The 20077-nt window shown below is 40.0% G+C and overlaps 1 protein-coding gene and 1 pseudogene across 6 annotated transcripts in view, besides 1 other annotated feature; one reads left to right on the top strand and one right to left on the bottom strand.

Annotated features, from left to right (window-relative positions):
• The window catches only part of ZNF81 (zinc finger protein 81), an 88726-nt gene extending 81078 nt beyond the window's left edge, over nt 1–7648 (bottom strand). For 3 of the 6 annotated variants that reach the window (NR_165431.1, NM_001378154.1, NM_001378152.1), the window contains exons 1-2: nt 7543–7648; nt 1782–1900 (exon numbers count right to left, since the gene is read on the bottom strand). The gene's annotated coding sequence lies outside the window, so the exon portion shown is untranslated. The remainder of the gene's footprint in view (nt 1–1781; nt 1901–7542) is intronic. The other 3 variants (NM_007137.5, NM_001378155.1, NM_001378153.1) reach the window with 2 other exon arrangements.
• Nucleotides 2840–3587, top strand: RPL7P57 (ribosomal protein L7 pseudogene 57; annotated as a pseudogene).
• Nucleotides 7521–7900: an enhancer, noted in NCBI's record as "active region_29598". NCBI's record gives its function as "activates an Ori minimal core promoter by ATAC-STARR-seq in GM12878 lymphoblastoid cells {active_cell/tissue: GM12878}" and the evidence as "EXISTENCE:reporter gene assay evidence [ECO:0000049][PMID:35858748]".

Below are 20077 nucleotides of genomic sequence, written 5' to 3'. Positions count from 1 at the left end.
TCGCATATATACACAATGGAATATTATAACATTTGGTAATACAAAAGAAGTACTAATACTTACTACAACATGGATGACCCCTGAAAACTCTACCCTAAGTGAAAGAAGCCGGTCACAAAAGACCACATATTTTGTGATTCCACTCATGTGAAATATCCAGAATAGGCAAATCCACAGAGACAGAAATAGAAGAGTGGTTGCCTAGGGCTGGGAGTATGAGGTGGCATGAATGGTAAATGTCTGCTAATGAGGACAGGATTTCTTTTGGGTGTGTTGAAAAGGTTCTAAAATTAGATTGTGGTGATGGCTGCACAACTCTGTTAATATACTAAAAACCACTGAGCTACATACTTTAAGTGGGTGAATTTTATGGTATTGGAATATACCTAAATAAATCTTATTTTTTAAAAGGGGAAGAAAACTTTTTCCTGAATAACCCAGGATCAAAGTGGGAAATCAATACAGAAGCTATACAAATTTTACCAGAAGTTACGGAATACAGCATTGTATTTGGAGTGAAATTTACTGCTTTAAATAGCTTTGGTTTTAATTAAAAATAAATACAACCCAAAAATGAGCTATATATTCAACCTAAAACATTAGAATTAGAAAAAACAAAATTAAGCAAAACAAAAACCAAAACCAGGAAGTAATTAATAAAACCTTAACTAAATCAAATAAATATAGGAGGTTTAAAGAAAAAAAAGAAATGAAATGACCAATGTAGCCAGGCGCAGTGGCTCATGCCTATAATCTCAGCACTTTGGGAGGCCAAGGTGGGAGGATCGCTTGAGCCCAGGAGTTTGAGCCCAACCTGGGCAACATGGTGAAACCTTATCTCTACAAAAAAATAGAAAAATTAGCCAGGCATGGTTGTGTGCACCTGTAGTTCCAGCTATTCAGGAAGACTGAGGTGGAAGGATTGCTTGAGCCTGGGAAGTCGAAGATGCAGTGAGCCACAGTTGCATCACTGCAGTCCAGCCTGGATGACAGAGTGAGAAACTGTCTCAAAAAAAATAAACAAATGGAAATGACCAATGTCATAAAAAAAACTCTCTAGCAAATCAGATAAAGGAGTCAAGAATGTGTGTGTGTGTGTGTGTGTGTGTGTGTGTGTAGATATAGGAATAACATAAGATAATTATCATCATCAGTCATTAGGAAAATACAAATCAAAACCCAAATCTTCCATTTGATTAGGAGACCATGTCTATGCAAGAGAAATTAAAACATATGTCCATTCCAAAACTTATACACAAATAGTCACAGCAGCATTATCCATAATAGCCAAAAAGTGGAAATAATCCAAATGTCCATCAAGTGATGAATGGATAAACAAAATTTGCCATATATATACAATAGAGTATTATTTGGTAATAAAAAAGAAGTACAGATACCTATTACATCATGGAAGAGCCTTAAAACCATAGAAACCATACACACACATACACATATACATATATTCAAAATGAGAGGAAAATCTTTCCCAGATAGGAAGGTGTTTAAAGCAGTTATTGCAGAACATTATGCATAACTGTATAGCAATGCATTTTAATACTGCCATAAAACAAGTGCTTCCCTAGTAAAATGCAAATTAACAAAGTTAATATAAGAAAAGAAAAGAAACCGAGTGTGGTGGCTCACACCTGTAATCCCAGAACTTTGGGAAGCCAAGGCTGGCAGATCAGTTGAGGCCAGGAGTTCAAGACCAGCTTGGCCAACATGGTGAAACCCCGTCTCTACTAAAAGTACAAAAATTAGCTAGGCATGGTGGCACGCACCTGTAATTCCAGCTACTCGGGAGGCTGAGGCAGGAGAATCGCTTGAACCCAGGAGGCAGAGGTTGCAGTGAGTTGAGATCACACAAACTGCACTCCAGCCTGGGTGACAGAGTGAGACTCTATCAAAAAAACAAAACAAAACCAAAACACAGAAAAGAAAGAAGAGGTTAGTACATGTAGAAGAGACCAGAAAAAAAATTAAAACAACAAACACAAATCAGAAGACTCTGAAAGGTAGAAAGGTAAGGAGGACAGCTTGCAGACCTCAGGACTTGAACAGCACAGTGGTTGAGTTCCCTGGGTTTTCCTTTATCCTCCCATATATCATCAAAAGGTACTGCAGAAACTTACAACTCAGAACCATCAACAGGAACAGACTCCCCCCGCCAAAACAATATGGCTCCAAGAAAAGCCATTCCTGTTAACGGACCAGGAAAAAGGTGACTTCGCTGAACAGAAAACCTTTTTGAAGATACACAGCCTTCTCCAGCCAAACACTAATGGAATGCACCTTCCTTTCAAGCACCTGCTGAACATTCTCCAAATAGACCACACCGGGGGTCATAAAACACCTCCACAAATTGAAGTCGTACAGAGTATGTTCTCTGATTATAATAGCATAGAACTATCAATCAACAACAGAAAGATAACAGGAGAATCTCCAGATACTTTAAATAATATATTTCTATATGATCCATGGATCAAAGATGAAGTCCCAAGGGAAATTAAAATGTGATGAATGAAAACGAAAAATGTAACATATCAAAATCTGTGGGGTACAGATAAAGCACTGTTGAGAGGGAACATTATAGCACTAAATGTTTATATGAGAAAAGAGGAAAGGTCTTAAATCAATAATCTAAGCTCCCACCTCAAGAAACTAGAAAAAGAAAACTCAAACTAAGCGGAAGGAAGTAATAAATACAAGAGCAGAAATCAATGAAATTGAAAACAGAAAAACAATAGAAAAAATAAATAAATCCAATAGCTGGTCTTTTGAAAAGAACAATAAAACTTGTAATCCTCCAGCAAGATTGACAAAGATAAAAAAGACACGACTAGAAAGATGGCAGAGCAAGAGCAAAGAAAAATCCCTTTGGTTCCAGAAAATCTCCTGAAAAAAGAGGAAGGTTTATCAAGCCCTCAAAGCCACCCAGGCAAAGCAGGCACTTTTGGCAAAGAAGGAGCAGAGGAAAGGAAAAAGGCTTAGGTTTAAGTGACTGGAATCATTCCTACATGATTCCTGGCGGCAGAAACGTGACAAGGTGCGTCTCAGACGACTAGAAGTGAAACCTCATGCCTTGGAATTGCCAGATAAACATTCCTTGGCCTTTGTCATACACATCGAAAGGATTGATGGCGTGAGTTTACTGGTGCAGAGAACCACTGCAAGACCGCCTAAAGAAAATTTTTAGTGGTGTCTTTGTAAAAGTTACCTCCCAGAACCTAAAAATGCTGCATATAGTGGAACCTTATGTGACCTGGGGATTTCCAAATCTGAAGTCTGTCCGGGAACTCATTTTTAAACATAGACAAGCCAAGGTCAAGAATAAGACCATCCCTCTGACAGACAGTACAGTGATTGAGGAGCACCTGGGGAAGTTTGGTGTCATTTGCTTGGAAGACCTCATTCATGAAATTGCCTTCCCAGGGAAACATTTCGAGGAGATCTCATGGTTCTTGAGCCCTTTCCACCTGTCAGTGGCCCGTCATGCTACCAAAAATAGAGTAGGCTTCCTCAAGGAGACGGGCACACCTGGCTATCGGGGTGAACACATCAATCTGCTCATCCACCAGCTGAACTAGACCCAGGTGCCAAACTGCAGTAAATTTGTATCAATGAAGTGGAAGCATGTGTTTTTATTTTTGGGGGGAATTTTTATCAAGTATCTTCAGAGAAGTTTATCTCCTGCTTTATCTTCAAAAACTGGAAAGGAAGGGTCAAAGAAAAGACAGTAGCTCGCCGGGCGCGGTGGCTCATGCCTGCAATCCCAGCACTTTGGGAGGCCAAAGCGGGCGGATCACCTGAGGTCAGGAGTTCAAGACCAGCCTGACCAACATGGAGAAACCCCGTCTCTACTAAAAATACAAAAATTAGCCGGGCATGGTGGCGCATGCCTGTAATCCCAGCTACTCAGGAGGTTGAGGCAGGAGAATCGCTTGAACCTGCCTGGGAGGCGGAGGTTGGGGTGAGCCGAGATTGCGCCATTGCACTCCAGCCTGGACAACAACAGCAAAACTCCGTCTCAAAAAAAAAAAAAAAAAGAAAAAGAAAAGAAAGAAAGAAAAGAAAAGACAGTAGCTTATGTTCATGGCAAGCACCTCTCATCACAGTCCAGTTTCAAGGAAAAATTCCAGCATTTTCTACATTGGCTGCGGCCTCATCTGAAATCAGCACATTCCACGGAGGAAGGAGTCCTGCTTTGCTGCATCTTCTATCCTAGGGTTTAATGTTGGTTAATGAGTAACTCTAGCATTTGTATAATGCTTCCTAAGAATCCTGCAGCAGTCGACCAAGCCCAGGGACATAATTGAATCTGGAGATTCCTGGGGACTTGTTTTGAAAAAGACTCGAAATACACATAGGAAGAAAGGCACAAAAATAAATGTTCACTTGTCTCTGCAAAAAAAAAAAAAAAAAGAGAGAGAAGACATGAAGACACAAATTACCAATATTAGAAATGAAACACAGAGATGTAACTGCAGATCCTGCAGCCATTAAAACAGGGGTATCTAATCTTTTGGCTTCCCTGGGCCCCACTGGAAGAAGAATTGTCTTTCACCACACATAAAATACACTAACACTAACGATAGCTGATGAGCTTTAAAAAAAATGCAAAAAAAACTCACAATATTTTAAGAAAGTTTACGAATTTGTGTTGGGCTGCATTCCAAGCTGTCCGGAGCCACATGTGGCCCACGGACAGCGGGTTGGACAAGCTTGCATTAAAAGGATAGTAAGGGAATACCACAACAACTTTGTGCACATAAATTCAACAACTTGGATGAAACAGTCCAATTCCTTGTAAAATGCAAAGTACCACAATTCACCCACTATTAAATGCAGGTTGAATGTCTCTTATCCAAAATGCTTGGGAACAGAAGTGTTTCAGATTTCAGTTTTTTTTTATTTTGGAATATATGCATATACATAATAAAGTATCTTGCAGAATGAGACCCAAGTATACACACAGAATTCATTTATGTTTCATGTACACTATGTTACCTTATAACATAGCCTGAAGGTAATTTTATATAACATGTTTAATAATTTTGTGCATGAAACAAAGTTTTCACTGCATTTTGACTGTGACCTGTCACAAAATCAGGTGTGAAATTTTGCTTGTGGCATTATGTTGGCACTCAGAAAGTTTTGGATTTTGAAGCATTTTGGATTTCAGATTTTTGAATTAGGGATGCTTAACCTGTAGTCTAAAATGATATTAAATAGATAATCTGAATAGTTACATAACTATTACAGACATTGAAGCCATGATCAAAAAGCTTCCAAATGGAAGTTTCCAGGCCCAGATGGCTTCACTGGAGAAGTCTACCAAATATTTAAATATTTAAATAAAAATTAGTACTTATTCTACACAGTCTCTTCCAGAAAACAGAAGAGGAGGAAATAGTCCCCAACTCATTCAATGAGGCCAGTATTACCCTAATACTAAAACCAGACAAAGCCAAGAGCAGTGGCTAACACCTGTAATCCCAGCACTTTGAGAGGCTGAGGCAGGAGGACTATTTGAGCCCAGGAGATTGAGACCAGCCTGGGCAACATAGTGAGACCCGGTTTACAAAAAATAATAAAATTAGTTGGGTGTGGTGGCGTGTGCCTGGAGTCCCAGCTACTCAGGAGGCTGAGGTGGAAGAATCACTTGAGGCTGGGAGGTCAAGGCTGCAGTAAGCCATGGTCACACCACTGCATTCCAGCCTGAGGAACAGAGTGAGAGCCTGTCTCAAAAATAAAAAATAAAACCAGACAAAGATAGTATAAAAAAGAAAACTATAGACAAATATTTCCCATGAACTTAGATGCAAAAATCCTCAAAAAAGCATTAGCTAATCAATTCCTTCAATATATCCAAAGAATTATACATCACAACCAAGTAGGGTTTATTCCAGGAATGTAAGACTAGTTCAATATTCAAAAATCAATCAGCATAACCCTCCATACTGACAAGCTAAAAAAGAAAAAAAATCACAAGATCATCAAAATTCAGAGTGTTGATGAAATTCAACACCCATTCACGATAAAAACTACTTTTGAAATTAAAAATAGAGGGGAACTTCCTCAACCAAAAAAGAGGGTCCAAAAAAAGAAAGCCCTACAGCTAAAATCATACTTAATGGTAAAAGGTTGAATATTTTCCCCCTAAGACTGAAAACAATGCAAAGATGTCCACTCTCTTATTCAACATAGTACTGGAACTTCTTGCCAGTGTAATAAGGGAAGAAAAGCAGAGGTATAAAGATTGGAAAGAAAGAAATAAAACTATCCCTGTTTGTATATGACATGATTGCTCATGCAGAAAATCCAAGGAATCTGCCAAAAAAGGTGTAAAACCTAATAATTGAGCTCAGCAAGATTGCAGGATACAAGACCAACAGACAAAACTCAATTGTATTCCTATATATAAGCAACAATTTAAAAGATAACACCATTTATGACCACTCCAAAACAATTAAATACTTAGGTATAAATTGAATAAGACATGTACAGAACTTGGGTGATGAAAATTAAAATACACCATTTATAGAAATTTTAAAAGATCTAAATAAATAGAGAGACATACTATGTATATGGATTGGAAGACTTGGCACAGTTAAGACTTAACTTCTTCCCGAGTTGGTATACAGGTTTAATGCAATTCCTATCAAAATCCAAGCAAGATGCTTTGTAGATAGAGACAAGATTTTCTAAAATGCATATAGGAAAGGCAAGGGAACCAGAGGCATTAAAACAATTTTGAAAAAGAATAAAGTGAGAGGAATCACTCTATCCAATTCAAGACAGCAAGGTAGTACTGGCAGAGGGATAGACACATAGACAATGAACTGAATAGCAAACCCAGAAAGAGCCCACACACAAGTATGGCCAACTTATTTTTGACAATGGTGAAAGACAAGTCAATGGAGGAAAGATAGTCTTTTCAACAAATGGTGCTTCAGTCTGGACATCCATAAGCAAATTAATGCACCTCGACCTAAGTCTCATACTTTATACAAAAAGTAACTCACAGAGGATCACAGACAGCAGTAAGGAGACACAGACAAATCACCATCACAGTGGAGAATTTCTCTCTCCTCGAAGTAATAGAAGAAGCAGACAAAAAAGGATAGATTTTCTATGACACAATTGACGACTAAATAATTAAATATTATTTTCAAGTTATATATAGAACGTTTCTAAAAATTCACCACGGACTAGGCCATAAGTCTCCTTATATTTCAAGGAATGAGCTTCACGTAGATATTTTTCTAACACAGAAAACTAAGGTTAGAGATCCATTACAGAGATAAACTTTTGCACACTGAAACCCCACTTTTGAATAACTCCCGGGTAAAAGACAAATGAATACAAGTTAACACTCTTAAAAAACATAATGCTCCAAACCCAATGGGGCTTAGAATGAACTTTAAGACCTTAACGGTGATGTTAGAAAAGAGAAAAGCCTGCAAAATGATGAGTGAATCATCCAACTCAAGTTAGATAAACGATTCCATCACTGGCCACACAGAATCGCCCAGCACTCACCCTCCCCGGCCCCCCATCACCTCCACATCCCTGGGCACTGAACGTCGAATCCTCCTGACAACTATCAAACCCCGGCTGAGAACCGGCGAGAACCGCAGCCGCTTCCGGTCACTACCCCTAGCACCGCCCTTTTTCGGGGTTTGGGACTTCACATGAATGAGGGAAGCGGAGGTTCCGCGCGTGCGCAAAACCACCTTTGAAGCTGCTGTTAGCCAGGAGTCAACATGGAGAAGTTACGGAAGTGGGTGCTTTGGGACGTTCGGTACCCCTCGGCGGCGTGGTCAGGTGGGGAACATGGCCGCGCCCACGTCGCGCTTCCCCATGGGATACACCATGTTGGAGGAGTGTCCATCCGTATTGAGGATGAGGACACCTCTGAACTCACAGAGCAGGCTGTGAGTTTAGAGCTGTCTGCTCTAAACTCAGGTGGAGCTGTCCCGCTGGTGGCAGGGAGCACGGGTGGGGACGTTTCTCTGGGCGGGCTAACTGGAGGAGGGGGTCTTTGGACCTGTAGTCTATGGATCTGTGTGATACCGCTCCGAGAAACTGAAGGGCCTCTTGGAAAGAATCAGGGGCGGCCGCGGCTATCTCCTGGCAGATACCACAGGATGAGAAGCGGGGAGATGTCAGGCTGGTTACAGGCTTCTCCTAGGACATACCACAAGGGGAGGAGGAGGAGGAGAAATCATGGTTATGCAAGCCCTCCTAGGATATGCCATGAGGTGGGAAAAAGGGAGAACTCAGAGTGCTGGGTTCCCCTCCTGCTGTGCCTGTGGGGCTTGGATGCGAGGTTTGAATGCTGCAGCAATTTACCTTATCTCCCACTCCATCTACCCCAGCTAAAAAGGGACTACGTAGTACCAATACTAATAATTTTTAATGTGTCCTTAGTCCAATGCAATATGTCAATAAAAATCTTTAGGAAACTTTATTATTTTTATTTCCTCATGAAGTAAAATATATGTGGTCATGGTGCCCTTACTTTGGAAATGTAGCTTTAATACAAGGCTCTGCTTCTACCCTTCAACCAGTTTGCTGCTCCATATCACCTCCAATGTGTAAATTCTGGAGATGCCCCTGCCCTCTGGGAGATGTCACTGGAGCAGAAGGGGAAGAAGTCGTGCAGTCCTTCACCTAAGAATGCCTATTCATCCTTCAAAATCAAGTTCAAATATCTCCTCCTCCAGAGAATCCTGACAGAGCTAGAAGCCTGTGTGCCCTCCTGAAAGCCTTTCTGAATCCTCAGGTGAAAAAAATATTTTGAGAGGACCTGGTGTAGGCTGAAGTGTGGACTTGCTGGGGGCTCTCAATCCAGTCTTATCCCCTCTGGCCCTCGGTTTAACAATCTCGAAGGTTAGAGGTGTCCTAGTCCAATTAGCCTCAAACTAATTTTTAGTCTGACAGATCCAGCAATCAATAAGGGAGACTGCACACCAGGGGCACCATGGGCAGCTCACTAAGCAAAGGAAAAGATAGAGTTCTTATAGGATTTTGAGGAATAGTGGAGTTCAGATGAAATTAAATGAAGCAGTGTTTTAGTGGGCTCAAAGGAAAGCAGGGCTGTATGTAAAGGGTAATTGTCAGGTCTGGACTGTGAAGTGAACCCAGAGTGCTGTTTCCTTGGAAACAATTTAGATGTAGAATTTTGTGTCCCCAGATAACTCTTGCCTAAAGCTTTGCACCTGGGTTGAAAATTGAATCTTGCTTCTCTGTCTGGAAGTGACTTAGAATCTCCCATGAGAATCAGATGTTTCCCTCTTACTGATATCATTTCAAACAGCAAAGTTTCTGATAGTCTATGATTGTAGAGAACAAAGTTTCTCATTGACCAAGAAAGCAATAGGCACTTAAAGTAGGGGTTCTTTATGGCATTACAACTGCAGCCTGTCCTTAGAAGAAATAATGTTTCCTGTGAATTTTGCATTTGGCTTTATATGTGTCTGTTCTTCCATCCTGATGAATAGCAAGGCAGATTTTTATAGTCCGATTTTCATTTTAATTTTTTTAGAGAGTTGGTATCTTTGTCCATTTTCTGCTACTGTAACAGAATATCACAGATTGGGTAATTTATAAAGAAAATAAGCTTATTTGGCTCATAGTTCTGGAGATTGGGAAGTCCAACTTGGTGCCAGCATCTGGTGAGGGCCTTATTGCTGCATTATTCCATGGCAGAGGACAAGAGGGCAAGCAAGTGTATGAACAAAGAGAAAGCACAAGGGACTGGGCTCACTTTATAACAACCCACTCTTGAGGTGACTAACCCATTCCCTCAGTGACAGCATTAATCAGTTTATGAGAATGGAGCCTCCATGACCTATTCACTTTTTAAAGGCCCCACCTCCTAATACTGTTACAATGGCAATTTCAATATGAGTTTCAGAGGAGACAAACATTTGAACCATAGCAGTTGAACTTTGATTATCCCAGCTTGTCATTCTGCCCCTGCATCCCTGGTCTGGGCAAATGTTTGTTGAATGAATAAATGAAAGAAGAATGGAATCAGTGGAAGCATATTTGGCATGCATACACTTCTAATAGAGTGCCAAGAATCACTGTTAGTGTTCTTGGATGTCATAATAGTACCAAAAAAAAAAAAAAAAGAAAGTTCTGTTAGACCACTTCAGAGAAGAAGGAGATATAGAGCCAGCAAACATATAAAGAGATGTTCAAAGTCATTTGTGATAAGGGAAATACAAATCAAGACATGATAAAAATGACATTTTATACCCATTCAAATTGCAAAAACATAAAAGTCTGACAATACCAAGAGTTGGAGAGTATGTGGGCCAACAGGATCTTTTTGCCCTGTTGAAGGAATGTAAATCAGTGCAACCACTTTAGAAAATATTTTTGCATTTTCTCCTACAGTGAATATATACATACCTTAACAATCCAGTGAGTCCACTCTCATGAATGTAACCAAGAGAAACACTTGCACAAGAAACCTAGGATATGCATGTTTCTTAGTCTGTTTTCTGTTGCTTACAACAGAATACCTGAAACTGGGTAATTTCTAAAGAAAAGGAATTTATTTCTTACAGTTACGGAGGCTGAGAAGTCCAAGGTTGAAGGGCAATAACTGGTGAGGGCCTTCTTTCTGGTAGGGACTTTCTGCAGAGTCCCAAGGTAGCACAGGGTATCACACAGTGAAGGGGCTGAGCATGCTAGCTGAGGTCGCTCCTCCTTTTTTTTTTGAGACGGATTCTTTCTCTGTCGCCCAGGCTAGAGTCCAGTGGTGCGATCTCGGCTGCCTGCAACCTCTGCCTCCCGGGTTCAAGCGATTCTCCTGCCTCAGCCTCCTGATTATAGGCGCGCGCCACCACGCCCAGCTAATTTTTGTATTTTTAGTAGAGACAGGGTTTCACCATGTTGGTCAGGCTGGTCTCGAACTCCTGACCTTGTGCTGGGATTACAGGCATGAGCCATTGCACCTGGCCTCTCTTCCTCTTCTTATAAAGTCACTAGTTCCACTCCCATGGTAACTCATTAATGGGGTAATCCATTCATGAGGGCAGGGCAGAGACCTCAACACTCAATCACCTCTTGAAGGCCCTACTTCTCAATACTGCTACATTGGGGATAAATTTCAACATGAGTTTTGGAGGGGACAAATATTCAAGCCATACCAGCATGGCATCCTGTTCACAACAGCAAAACCTGGAAAAAAAAATGGATGCTCATCAACAGGAGTCATAATGAATGAACTAGAACAACACCCAACAATATGGATGAATATTAAGGGGGAGGAACTGTAATCCCAAAAGATTATATAAAGCATAACACACTTTTATAAACTTAAAAGCTACTAATATAGGCTGGGCACAGTGGCTCATGCCTGTAATCTCAGCACTTTGGGAGGCCAAGGTGGGATGATCTCTTGAAGCCAGGAATTCAAGACCAGTGTGGGCAACAAAGTGAGATCCCCGTCCCTACAATAATTTTAAAAATTAGCCAGGTGTGGTGGTTTGTGCCTGTAATCCCAGCTACTCGGGAGGCTGAGGTGGGAGGATCCCTTGAGCCTCTTGAGGAGTTCAAGACTGCAGTGAGCTATGATAGTGCCACTGCACTCCAACCTGGGTGACAGAGCAAGACCCTGTCTCTTTAAAAAAAAAAAAAAAAAAGCTACTAATATAAAGGATATGAACTATTTAGGATTTTGTGTAGTTGCAATAAAATTACATTAAAAAGAAATTTAAAAACGACGAACTTGGGATTCAGGATGATATTTACCTCAGTTGAGGGTGGGGGCAAGGCAACAAATTGGGGGACTCCATGGATAGATAGAGGTTATCATCAAGTCCGTACCTTTTCTTTTGGGTGGTAGGTGCATATATTCATTCATTCATTCATTCATTTTAGAGACTGAGTCTCACTCTGCACCCAGGCTGGGGTGCAGTGGCACGATCATAGCTAATTATATTATTAAAAGTAACTACATATTTAAATTAATTGGGAAAATTAAGATGTTAGATAATGTGATAGTTAATACTGAGTGTCAACTTGATTGGATTGAAGGATGCAAAGTATTGATCCTGTGTGTGTGTGTGAGGGTGTTGCCAAAGGAGATTAACATTTGAGTCAGTGGGCTGGGAAAGGCAGGCCCACCCTTAATCTGGGTGGGCACCATCTAATCAGCTGCCAGCGCAGCCAGGATATAAAGCAGGTAGAAAAACGTGAAGAGGCTAGACTGGCTTAGCTTCCTAGCCTACATCTTTCACCCCTGCTGGATGCTTCCTGCCCTCAAACATCGGACTCCAAGTTCTTCAGCTTTGGGGACTCGGACTGGCTTCCTTGCTCCTCAGCTTGCAGATGGCCTATTGTGGGACCTTGTGACTGTGTGAGTTAATACTGCTTAATAAACTCATATATATATCACCTACTAGTTCTGTCCCTCTAGAGAACCCTGACTAATACAGATAAATATCTAACTGATAAAAAGAAAAAATCTGTATGGAGAAAAGTGGCATCTCTCCCTTTAATGGGGCAAGAAAACATTTGGCTGCAGCCCAGAGATGCCACCTAGTGGTGGGATGAACAGGGAGGCAGGTGCTCCATGGCCTTGACATTTACTGCTGCCCCTGGCTCCATGGGTCACTCTATCGAGTCACTTACCTGCTCAAATGTCTCTTCTTCAGAGGTCTTTCTTCCCTGGTCTATCCCAACACTTGAGCTCTTCGCCAGGCTTCAGTTTTCTTCATAGCCTTCCTTTGTATCAGAAATTATTGTATTTGTTTACTGTTTGCTCATTTACTTGTTCATGCTGATACTGCAGTGATTTCTGCTTCTTACATATATGGAGTAATCAACTGCTTTATTTCTAGTATCTTTATTATACAATGTAGAGGGCAGCAAAATACGCACTTCAGAGTCATTTTCTTAAAATATTAATGATTTCCCCAAAAGACTCTGCAGGCATCTCTGGACGACATGACTGCTATAATAAAATTAATTTGGTATAAGTAATGTATGAAATACCAAAGAGATGGAGAACTTATAAATACTTGATGAATTGACCATCCGGCACTGTTCTTGGTACTTGATGTTTGGTTCAACAAAACAGCCCCCAAATCCCTAACTTCATGGAGTTAACATCCTAGCAGGGAATAGAGGCAATAAGCATTTTAAAAGAGCAAATTACAAAGGTGACAACCGCTAAAGAGGGTATGTTATAGGGGAGTGGTATGAGTTGGAAATGCTGGGAGAACTGCCACTTCATGTTTTTAGTTTTTATTTTAAAAAAAAATTTTTGGCTGGGCACAGTGGCTCACACCTGTAATCCCAGCACTTTGGGAGGCTGAGGCGGGTGGATCACGAGGTCAGGAGTTCAAGACCAGCCTGGCCAAGATGGTGAAACCCCGTCTCTACTAAAAATACAAAAATTAGCCGGGTGTGGTGGCGGACTCCTGTAATCCCAGCTACTCGGGAAGCTAAGGCAGAGAATTGCTTGAACCCGGGAAGTGGAGGTTGTAGTGAGCCAAGATCGTGCCACTGCACTCCAGCCTGGGCGACAGAGTGAGACTCCATCTCAAAAAAAATTATGTTTTAAATTATGTTTTAAAATGCACAATTAAGTTATTATTGACTATAGTCACCCTATCGTGCTATCAAATAGTAGATCTTATTCATTTTTTCTAACTATATTTCTTGTACCTGCTAACCATCCCCACCTCCCCACCAGCCCCCCATTATCCTTCCCAGCCTCTGGTAACCATCCTTCTACTCTCTATCTCCGTAATTGTTTTGATTTATAGCTCCCACAAATAAGTGAGAACATGCGATGTTTGTCTTTCTGTGCCTCGCTTATTTCACTTAACAATGATCTCCAGTTCCATCCATGTTGTTGCAAATGACTGGTCTCATTCTTTTTATGGCTAAATTGTATTCCATTATGTATAAGTACAATGTTTTCTTTATCCATTCATCTGTTGATGGACCTTTAGGTGGGTTCCAAATCTTAGCTATTGTAAACAGTGCTGCAACAAACATAGGAGTGCAGGTATTTCTTCCATATACTGATTTCCAGAACTGCCACTTTAAATAGAGAGGTCAGTCGGGATTCTTTACATCTATGTGGGTACCCAGTTGAAAACCAAGAAGAATGCAGAGTTCGAGTATTTTTATATCTGCAGCTAAGGACATAATGATGAGCACCTGTGTCCTAGAGCAGATGCAAAAATTAATCCACAGCCAAGGTCTCCTGGTCACTCTTGTCTTGTGTGCCTCCCTTTAGTAGGGGAAAACATTTTACAAAGTCTTCCACTGACAGAAGTCAAAGAAACCTTTGTGAAAAGTATCAGGTTCAATGGCTGAGCAGGGACCTCAGGACCAATAACCACAACCATTTACATACTTCAGTAGATAGCAAGCAATAATACCTTATTTATTTTACACCCAGCTTTTTAATGGAAAAATTTCACACCTACACAAAAGTTGAAAGAATTGCACTATGAATATTCAAATACCTTCCACCTAGAAGTAACAATTGTTCATCTATGTCACATTTGCCTTATATTTCTGTTTGCATATATACAGGCCCCATCATTTAAAAACAGAGTCAAAAGAAAATGATTGAAGTGACTGCTATAGAGCTTAAAGGCTTTATTCAGCTGAGGTGCATCAGGTGATGTCCTGATTGAAGCAGGGTCAGGGTTTTTATGAGGGAAAGTGGAATATGTGTTCTTGCTTTTGGCTTAGGTAGCTGTATGTGTGTATACACACACACACACACACACACACACACACACACACACACACACACACACACACACACACACTAGAGAGAGACGGGGTCTCGCTATGTTGCCCAGGCTGATACCAAACTCCTGTCCTCAAGCGATCCTCCTGCCTCAGCCTCCCAAAGTGCTAGGATTATAGTTGTGAGCTACCATGCCTGGCCTGGATAGCAGTTTTTGACTTTAAGTGAAACTCGTAGTTGGTGGCAGGGTCGTTCCTGTTTTTGTGCCCCTTGCTCAATCAGAACCCTTCAGGACAGTATTTTTAGAGGATTACTTTTGCAAACATTGTGGCTTATCTGCTAGTCAGAGCTCATGGGGGCAGGGGAGAGATAGCAAAAAAGGATGAAAGGTGCAAGGTAGAAGGCAACAGAGAAACTGAGGACTCCACCGTGTTTGTTTTACAATACCTTTGTACAGTAAGCTGCAGACATCATGCTCCTTATACTCAGCAGGATATATACTCAGCATGTATCTCCTGAGGGACTGAATATACAAACAGGCAATGGCCAGACCATATATAACAATAGAATCCTGACCTACAACCTCTACAGCAATAAGCATGGGAAGCCAAACCACAACCTCAGTAGCAATCAGCCCAGATGGTCAGGATTTGATTGATGACATCTAGCTTCTCAATTTTTTTAACCCAATTTCCAACTCAGGGCCAACCAGAAAAAGCCAAATCTACTTCCCAAATCAATCGCATAGGATGCCCCACTTCAGTTAGTCCACCTCCAGCTTGTGCACTCCAACACCCTCCAATCAGGACACACCTGAAGCCTTCCCCTTTTTCTACTACATATAAAGCTTTCCCATTCTTCTGCCTGCCTTTGAGTCTTTGACAAACGCCAAGTGATAATGGCCCAATACCTTACTGTAGTAAGCTCTGAAAAGTCTCTGCTTTTTCTCATTGGATCATCTGTGTAGATTTCCACTCTCCTAAGAACAAGGACATTTTCTTGCATAGCCACAAACCCATTCTCACCCCTAAGAAATTTGAGAGGTTTTTTTAAACGATTTAAAATTTTATGTTTAAATTATCATATAGTAACATTGACTTTTTGGTGTACAGTTTAATTAATTAATTCCTTATTTATTTATTTTTGAGATGGAGTCTCGCTCTGTCACCCAGGCTGTAGTGCAGTGGCCTGATCTCAGCTCACTGCAACCTCTGCCTCCCGGGTTCAAGCCATTCTCCTGCCTCAGCCACCTGAGTAGCTGGGATTACAGGTGCCCACCACCATGCCCAGCTAATTTTTGTATTTTTTTAGTAGAGATGGAGTTTCACCATGTTGGCCAAGCTGGTCATTAACTCCTAACCTCAAGTGATCCTCCTGCCTCAGCCTCCCAAAGTACTGGGATTACAGGCGTAAACCACCATGCCCAGCCTAATTAATTTATTTTTAAGTGGAGGTCTTGCTCTGTTGCCCAGGCTGGAGTTCAGTAGCCTGATCATGGCTCACTGCAGCCTCAAACTCCTGGCCTCAAGCAATCCTCCTGCCTTGGCCTTGCAAAGTGCTGGGATTACAGGCATAAGCCACCACACCCAGACCAGTTTCATAAATTTTAATTCATGTGTAGATTTGTGTAACCACCGCCACCATCAGCATACAGAACAGTTCCATGACACCTCCCCCCAAAAAAAATCTCATCACACCTAAGAAATTTAACAATGATACAAAAATATTATGCAGTCCAAATTCCATATGTTTCTAGTTAGCTCCAATTTTTTTTTTACAACTAAAAAAAAAAATCCTGTATCCAAACAGGGTTCATGCATTGCATTTAGTTGTCGTATCTCCTTAGTCTCTAATCTCTTCTTTAGTCTTAATCTATAATAGTTTCCCAGCCTTTTTTGTCTGTCACAATGTTAATATTTTTGAAGGGCTTATGTCAGTTGTTACAGATGGTTACAGTTACAGATGGTTCTGCATTTCTGTTTTCTCAAAAACGGATTCAGGCCAAACGACTTGGAAAAGAAAACTACATGGGTGATGTGTCCCTCTCGGTAAGTCATATCTGGAGGCATGTGTCACTTCACTCTGTTGGTAATATTATACTAAGTTTGACTTCTTGGTTAAGGGATGGACCACCAAATCTCTCCATTGCAAAAAAAGCCACCTCTGCCCTTTGTATTTAGCTGTGGGGTCATTCTTTGGGAACCCTGTGAATAATCTGTTCCCCAAGAAGCATTCACAAAAATGGTTTTAGCACTTATAACTGACAGGTCACATTTAGCAGGCTTCCAAATTAACCCACCCAGGGAAGTCTTAGAATTCATGGCTTACTTCCTGTCCCTGGAGTAAAAAATCTTATAAGTTCCTCAAACTATTGACAAACTGATTAATACATAACCTACTGACACTAAAAAGGACACTAATTTGTTTCCAAATCATGATGTTTTACAAATTTTTTGCTAAGTCATAAAGTTTTACTGATTGTCTTACGTGTAGAACATTTTAGCATATGTGTTATAATCTATAGTTAATGATTATAACCTCTATATTACACCCTCCAATAAAAAGGACAACTCTGACATGAAGAGTCCTTCTCCCTTCTTCTAAATTTTCCCATAAAAGCCCTTCAGCCTGTGGCAAACTTGAACATGATCAACTTTGTTGGTGTGTCTTCCTGGGTTGATCCTCACATTTGGCTTCCAGTAAAACTTTTGCAAATTATTTGTACCTCGACAACCTTAATTTGGGTCCATTGATGATCTTTGCCTAAAATAATCATTAACTTTAGGGTGGCAAAATGTGCTTCTCTAATTCTATTATTTTTCTGTATTAGCTGGCATTTTTTATTAAAGAATTTTCCTTCCCTGTGCATGTAGGGTTTTTTTTTAGAATAATTATAGTCATGTCCCAGCATCAGATTTACTGCTTTTCTGATTGCAGATACATTGTATAACACACAATTAGTGCTTAAGAAATATCAGTGCAATGAATAAATGATAAGTACTGCTATAATATTCTACTAGAACTCCTGGACACATAATCTGTACTCATCAATTGCAGTTTTCTTCCCCAATTGCAGTATGTCAGATATACTGGTCCTCAGATGTTTGTCTTGGCTCTGAAACCACATTTTTTTCTTACTTCTAATCTAATATCTTCATGCTTCTTGATTCTAGTGACTGGAATCATGCTGATGACTTGATTTCATTAATTTATTTGAGCTCTACTGAGAAACAACTGAACTATTGAATATTGCCATATTCATCTCCATAGGATTGTATTGTTTTGACTCACCCCAGCAATAGATGAGAGTATTAGTTTTCTCATAATTTCACCAAAAGTATGGGTTGTTAAGCTTTTAGATTTTGCCAATCTGGGAGGTGGGAAATGATATCTCAAGTGTAGTTTTAATTTACTTTTGTCTTAGTATGAGGGTGGTTGAGCATGCTTTCATGTTATTAAAATCCTGTGTATTGGTTTTTCTCTCAATGAATTTTGCCTATGTTTAATTCAGTTAACATGACATTAATATACTGCCAAATTTTAAAACTTCCCTTTAACCCTAATATAGTCCTACTTAGTTATGATGTATTATTCTTTAAAAAAATTATTGATATATAATAGATGTACAGATATATTATTATTATTTTAATGTACTATTGGATTCTATTTGCTATTATTTCATTTAGGAATGTTTTTGTTTAATGTTCCTAAATTAGAATGCTCTAAACTTAGTGTTAGCAGGATATACCTTTCTTTATCCCCTTTGCTTTTAAACTATCTGTATATTTATATGTAAAGTGGGCTGCTTATAGATTGGCATATAGTTGGGTCTTGGTTTTTTATGCACTCTGACACTCCCTGTTTTTTAATTGGTGTATTTATAAGATTCACATTTGATATGGTTTGGCTATGTCCCCCACCCAAAATCTCATCTTGAATTGTAGTCCTCATAATCCCCACAGTCAAGGGAGAGACCAGGTGGAGGCAATTGAATCATGGGGGTGGTTCCCCCGGTTGCTGTTCTCATGATAGTGAGTGAGTTCTCACAAGATCTGATGGTTTTATAAGTGTGTGGTAGTTCCTCCTGTGTTCATTCTCCTTCCTGCCGCCTTGTGAAGAAGGTTCCCTGTTTCCCCTTTGCCTTCTGCCATGATTGTAAGTTTCCTGAGGCCTCCCCAACCATGCTGAACTGTGAATCAATTAAACCTCTTTCCTTTATAAATTACCCAGTGTTGGGCAGTTCTTTATAGCAGTGTGAAAACAGACTAATACATTTAAGGCGATGATTGATGTAGTTTAATTATCTACCATCTTTTAAACTGTTTTCTATTTATTGTACTTGTACTTTTTCCTTTTTTATCTTCCCCTTTTTTCTGCCTTCTTTGGTTTTAATTAATCATTTTATATGATTCCATTTTCTCTCCTCTCTCCTCTATCAATTACACTTTTTAAAAATATTTTTTAGCAGTTGCCGTAGACTTTTCAATATACATTTACAACTAATCTAAGTCCACTTTCAACTAACACTATACTGCTTCATGGGTTGTACAGGTACTTTATAGCTGAGCATTCCCAATTCCTTCCTCTCATCCTTTATAATGTTGCTGTCATTTATTTCACTTATAAATATGCTATAATCGTATATATAATACATTACTTTGAACAGTTGTCTATTAGATCAATTAAGAATAAGATAAGAAAAATAAAATATTTTAACTTTAATTATTCTTCCTCTTCCTTCCTAGTAGATCTGAGTTTCTGACCTAGATTATTTTCCTTCTCCCTGAGGAACCCCTTTCAACATTTCTTGCAAGGCAGATCTACTGGCAATGAATTTCTTCAGTGTTCGTTTATCTGAAAGTCTTTATTTCTCCTTCATTTTCGAAGGATAATTTCACTGGATCTAGAATTTAGGTTGTTGGGTTTTTCCTTTTGACACTTTAAGTGTGCCTCTCCACTCTCTTACTGTTTTCATGGTTTCCAACAAGTAGTCCAATGTAATTCTTAATCTTGTTCTTCTAGTGGTAAGATTCCCTCTCCTCTGGATTCTTTCAATATTTTCTCTGTTGTTGGTTTTCTTCAGTGCGACTATCATACGACTAGTGTAGATTGTTTTGGTATTTATCTTGTGCTATGGTTTGGATGTTTGTTCCCTCCAAACCTCGTGTTGAAATTTGATCCCCAGTGTTGGGGGAGGGGCCTAATGGGAGGTGTTTGGGTCATGGAGGTGGATCCCTCATGAGTAGATTAATGCTCTCTCTCATCGATGAGTGAATTTATACTCTATTAGTTCCCAGGAGAGCTGGTTGTTAAAATGAGTCTGGCACCTACCCACTCTCC

This window comes from Homo sapiens, chromosome X (assembly GCF_000001405.40).
Source record: "Homo sapiens chromosome X, GRCh38.p14 Primary Assembly".
NCBI lineage: Eukaryota > Metazoa > Chordata > Mammalia > Primates > Hominidae > Homo > Homo sapiens.
This window is presented reverse-complemented; position numbering and strand designations above follow the sequence as displayed.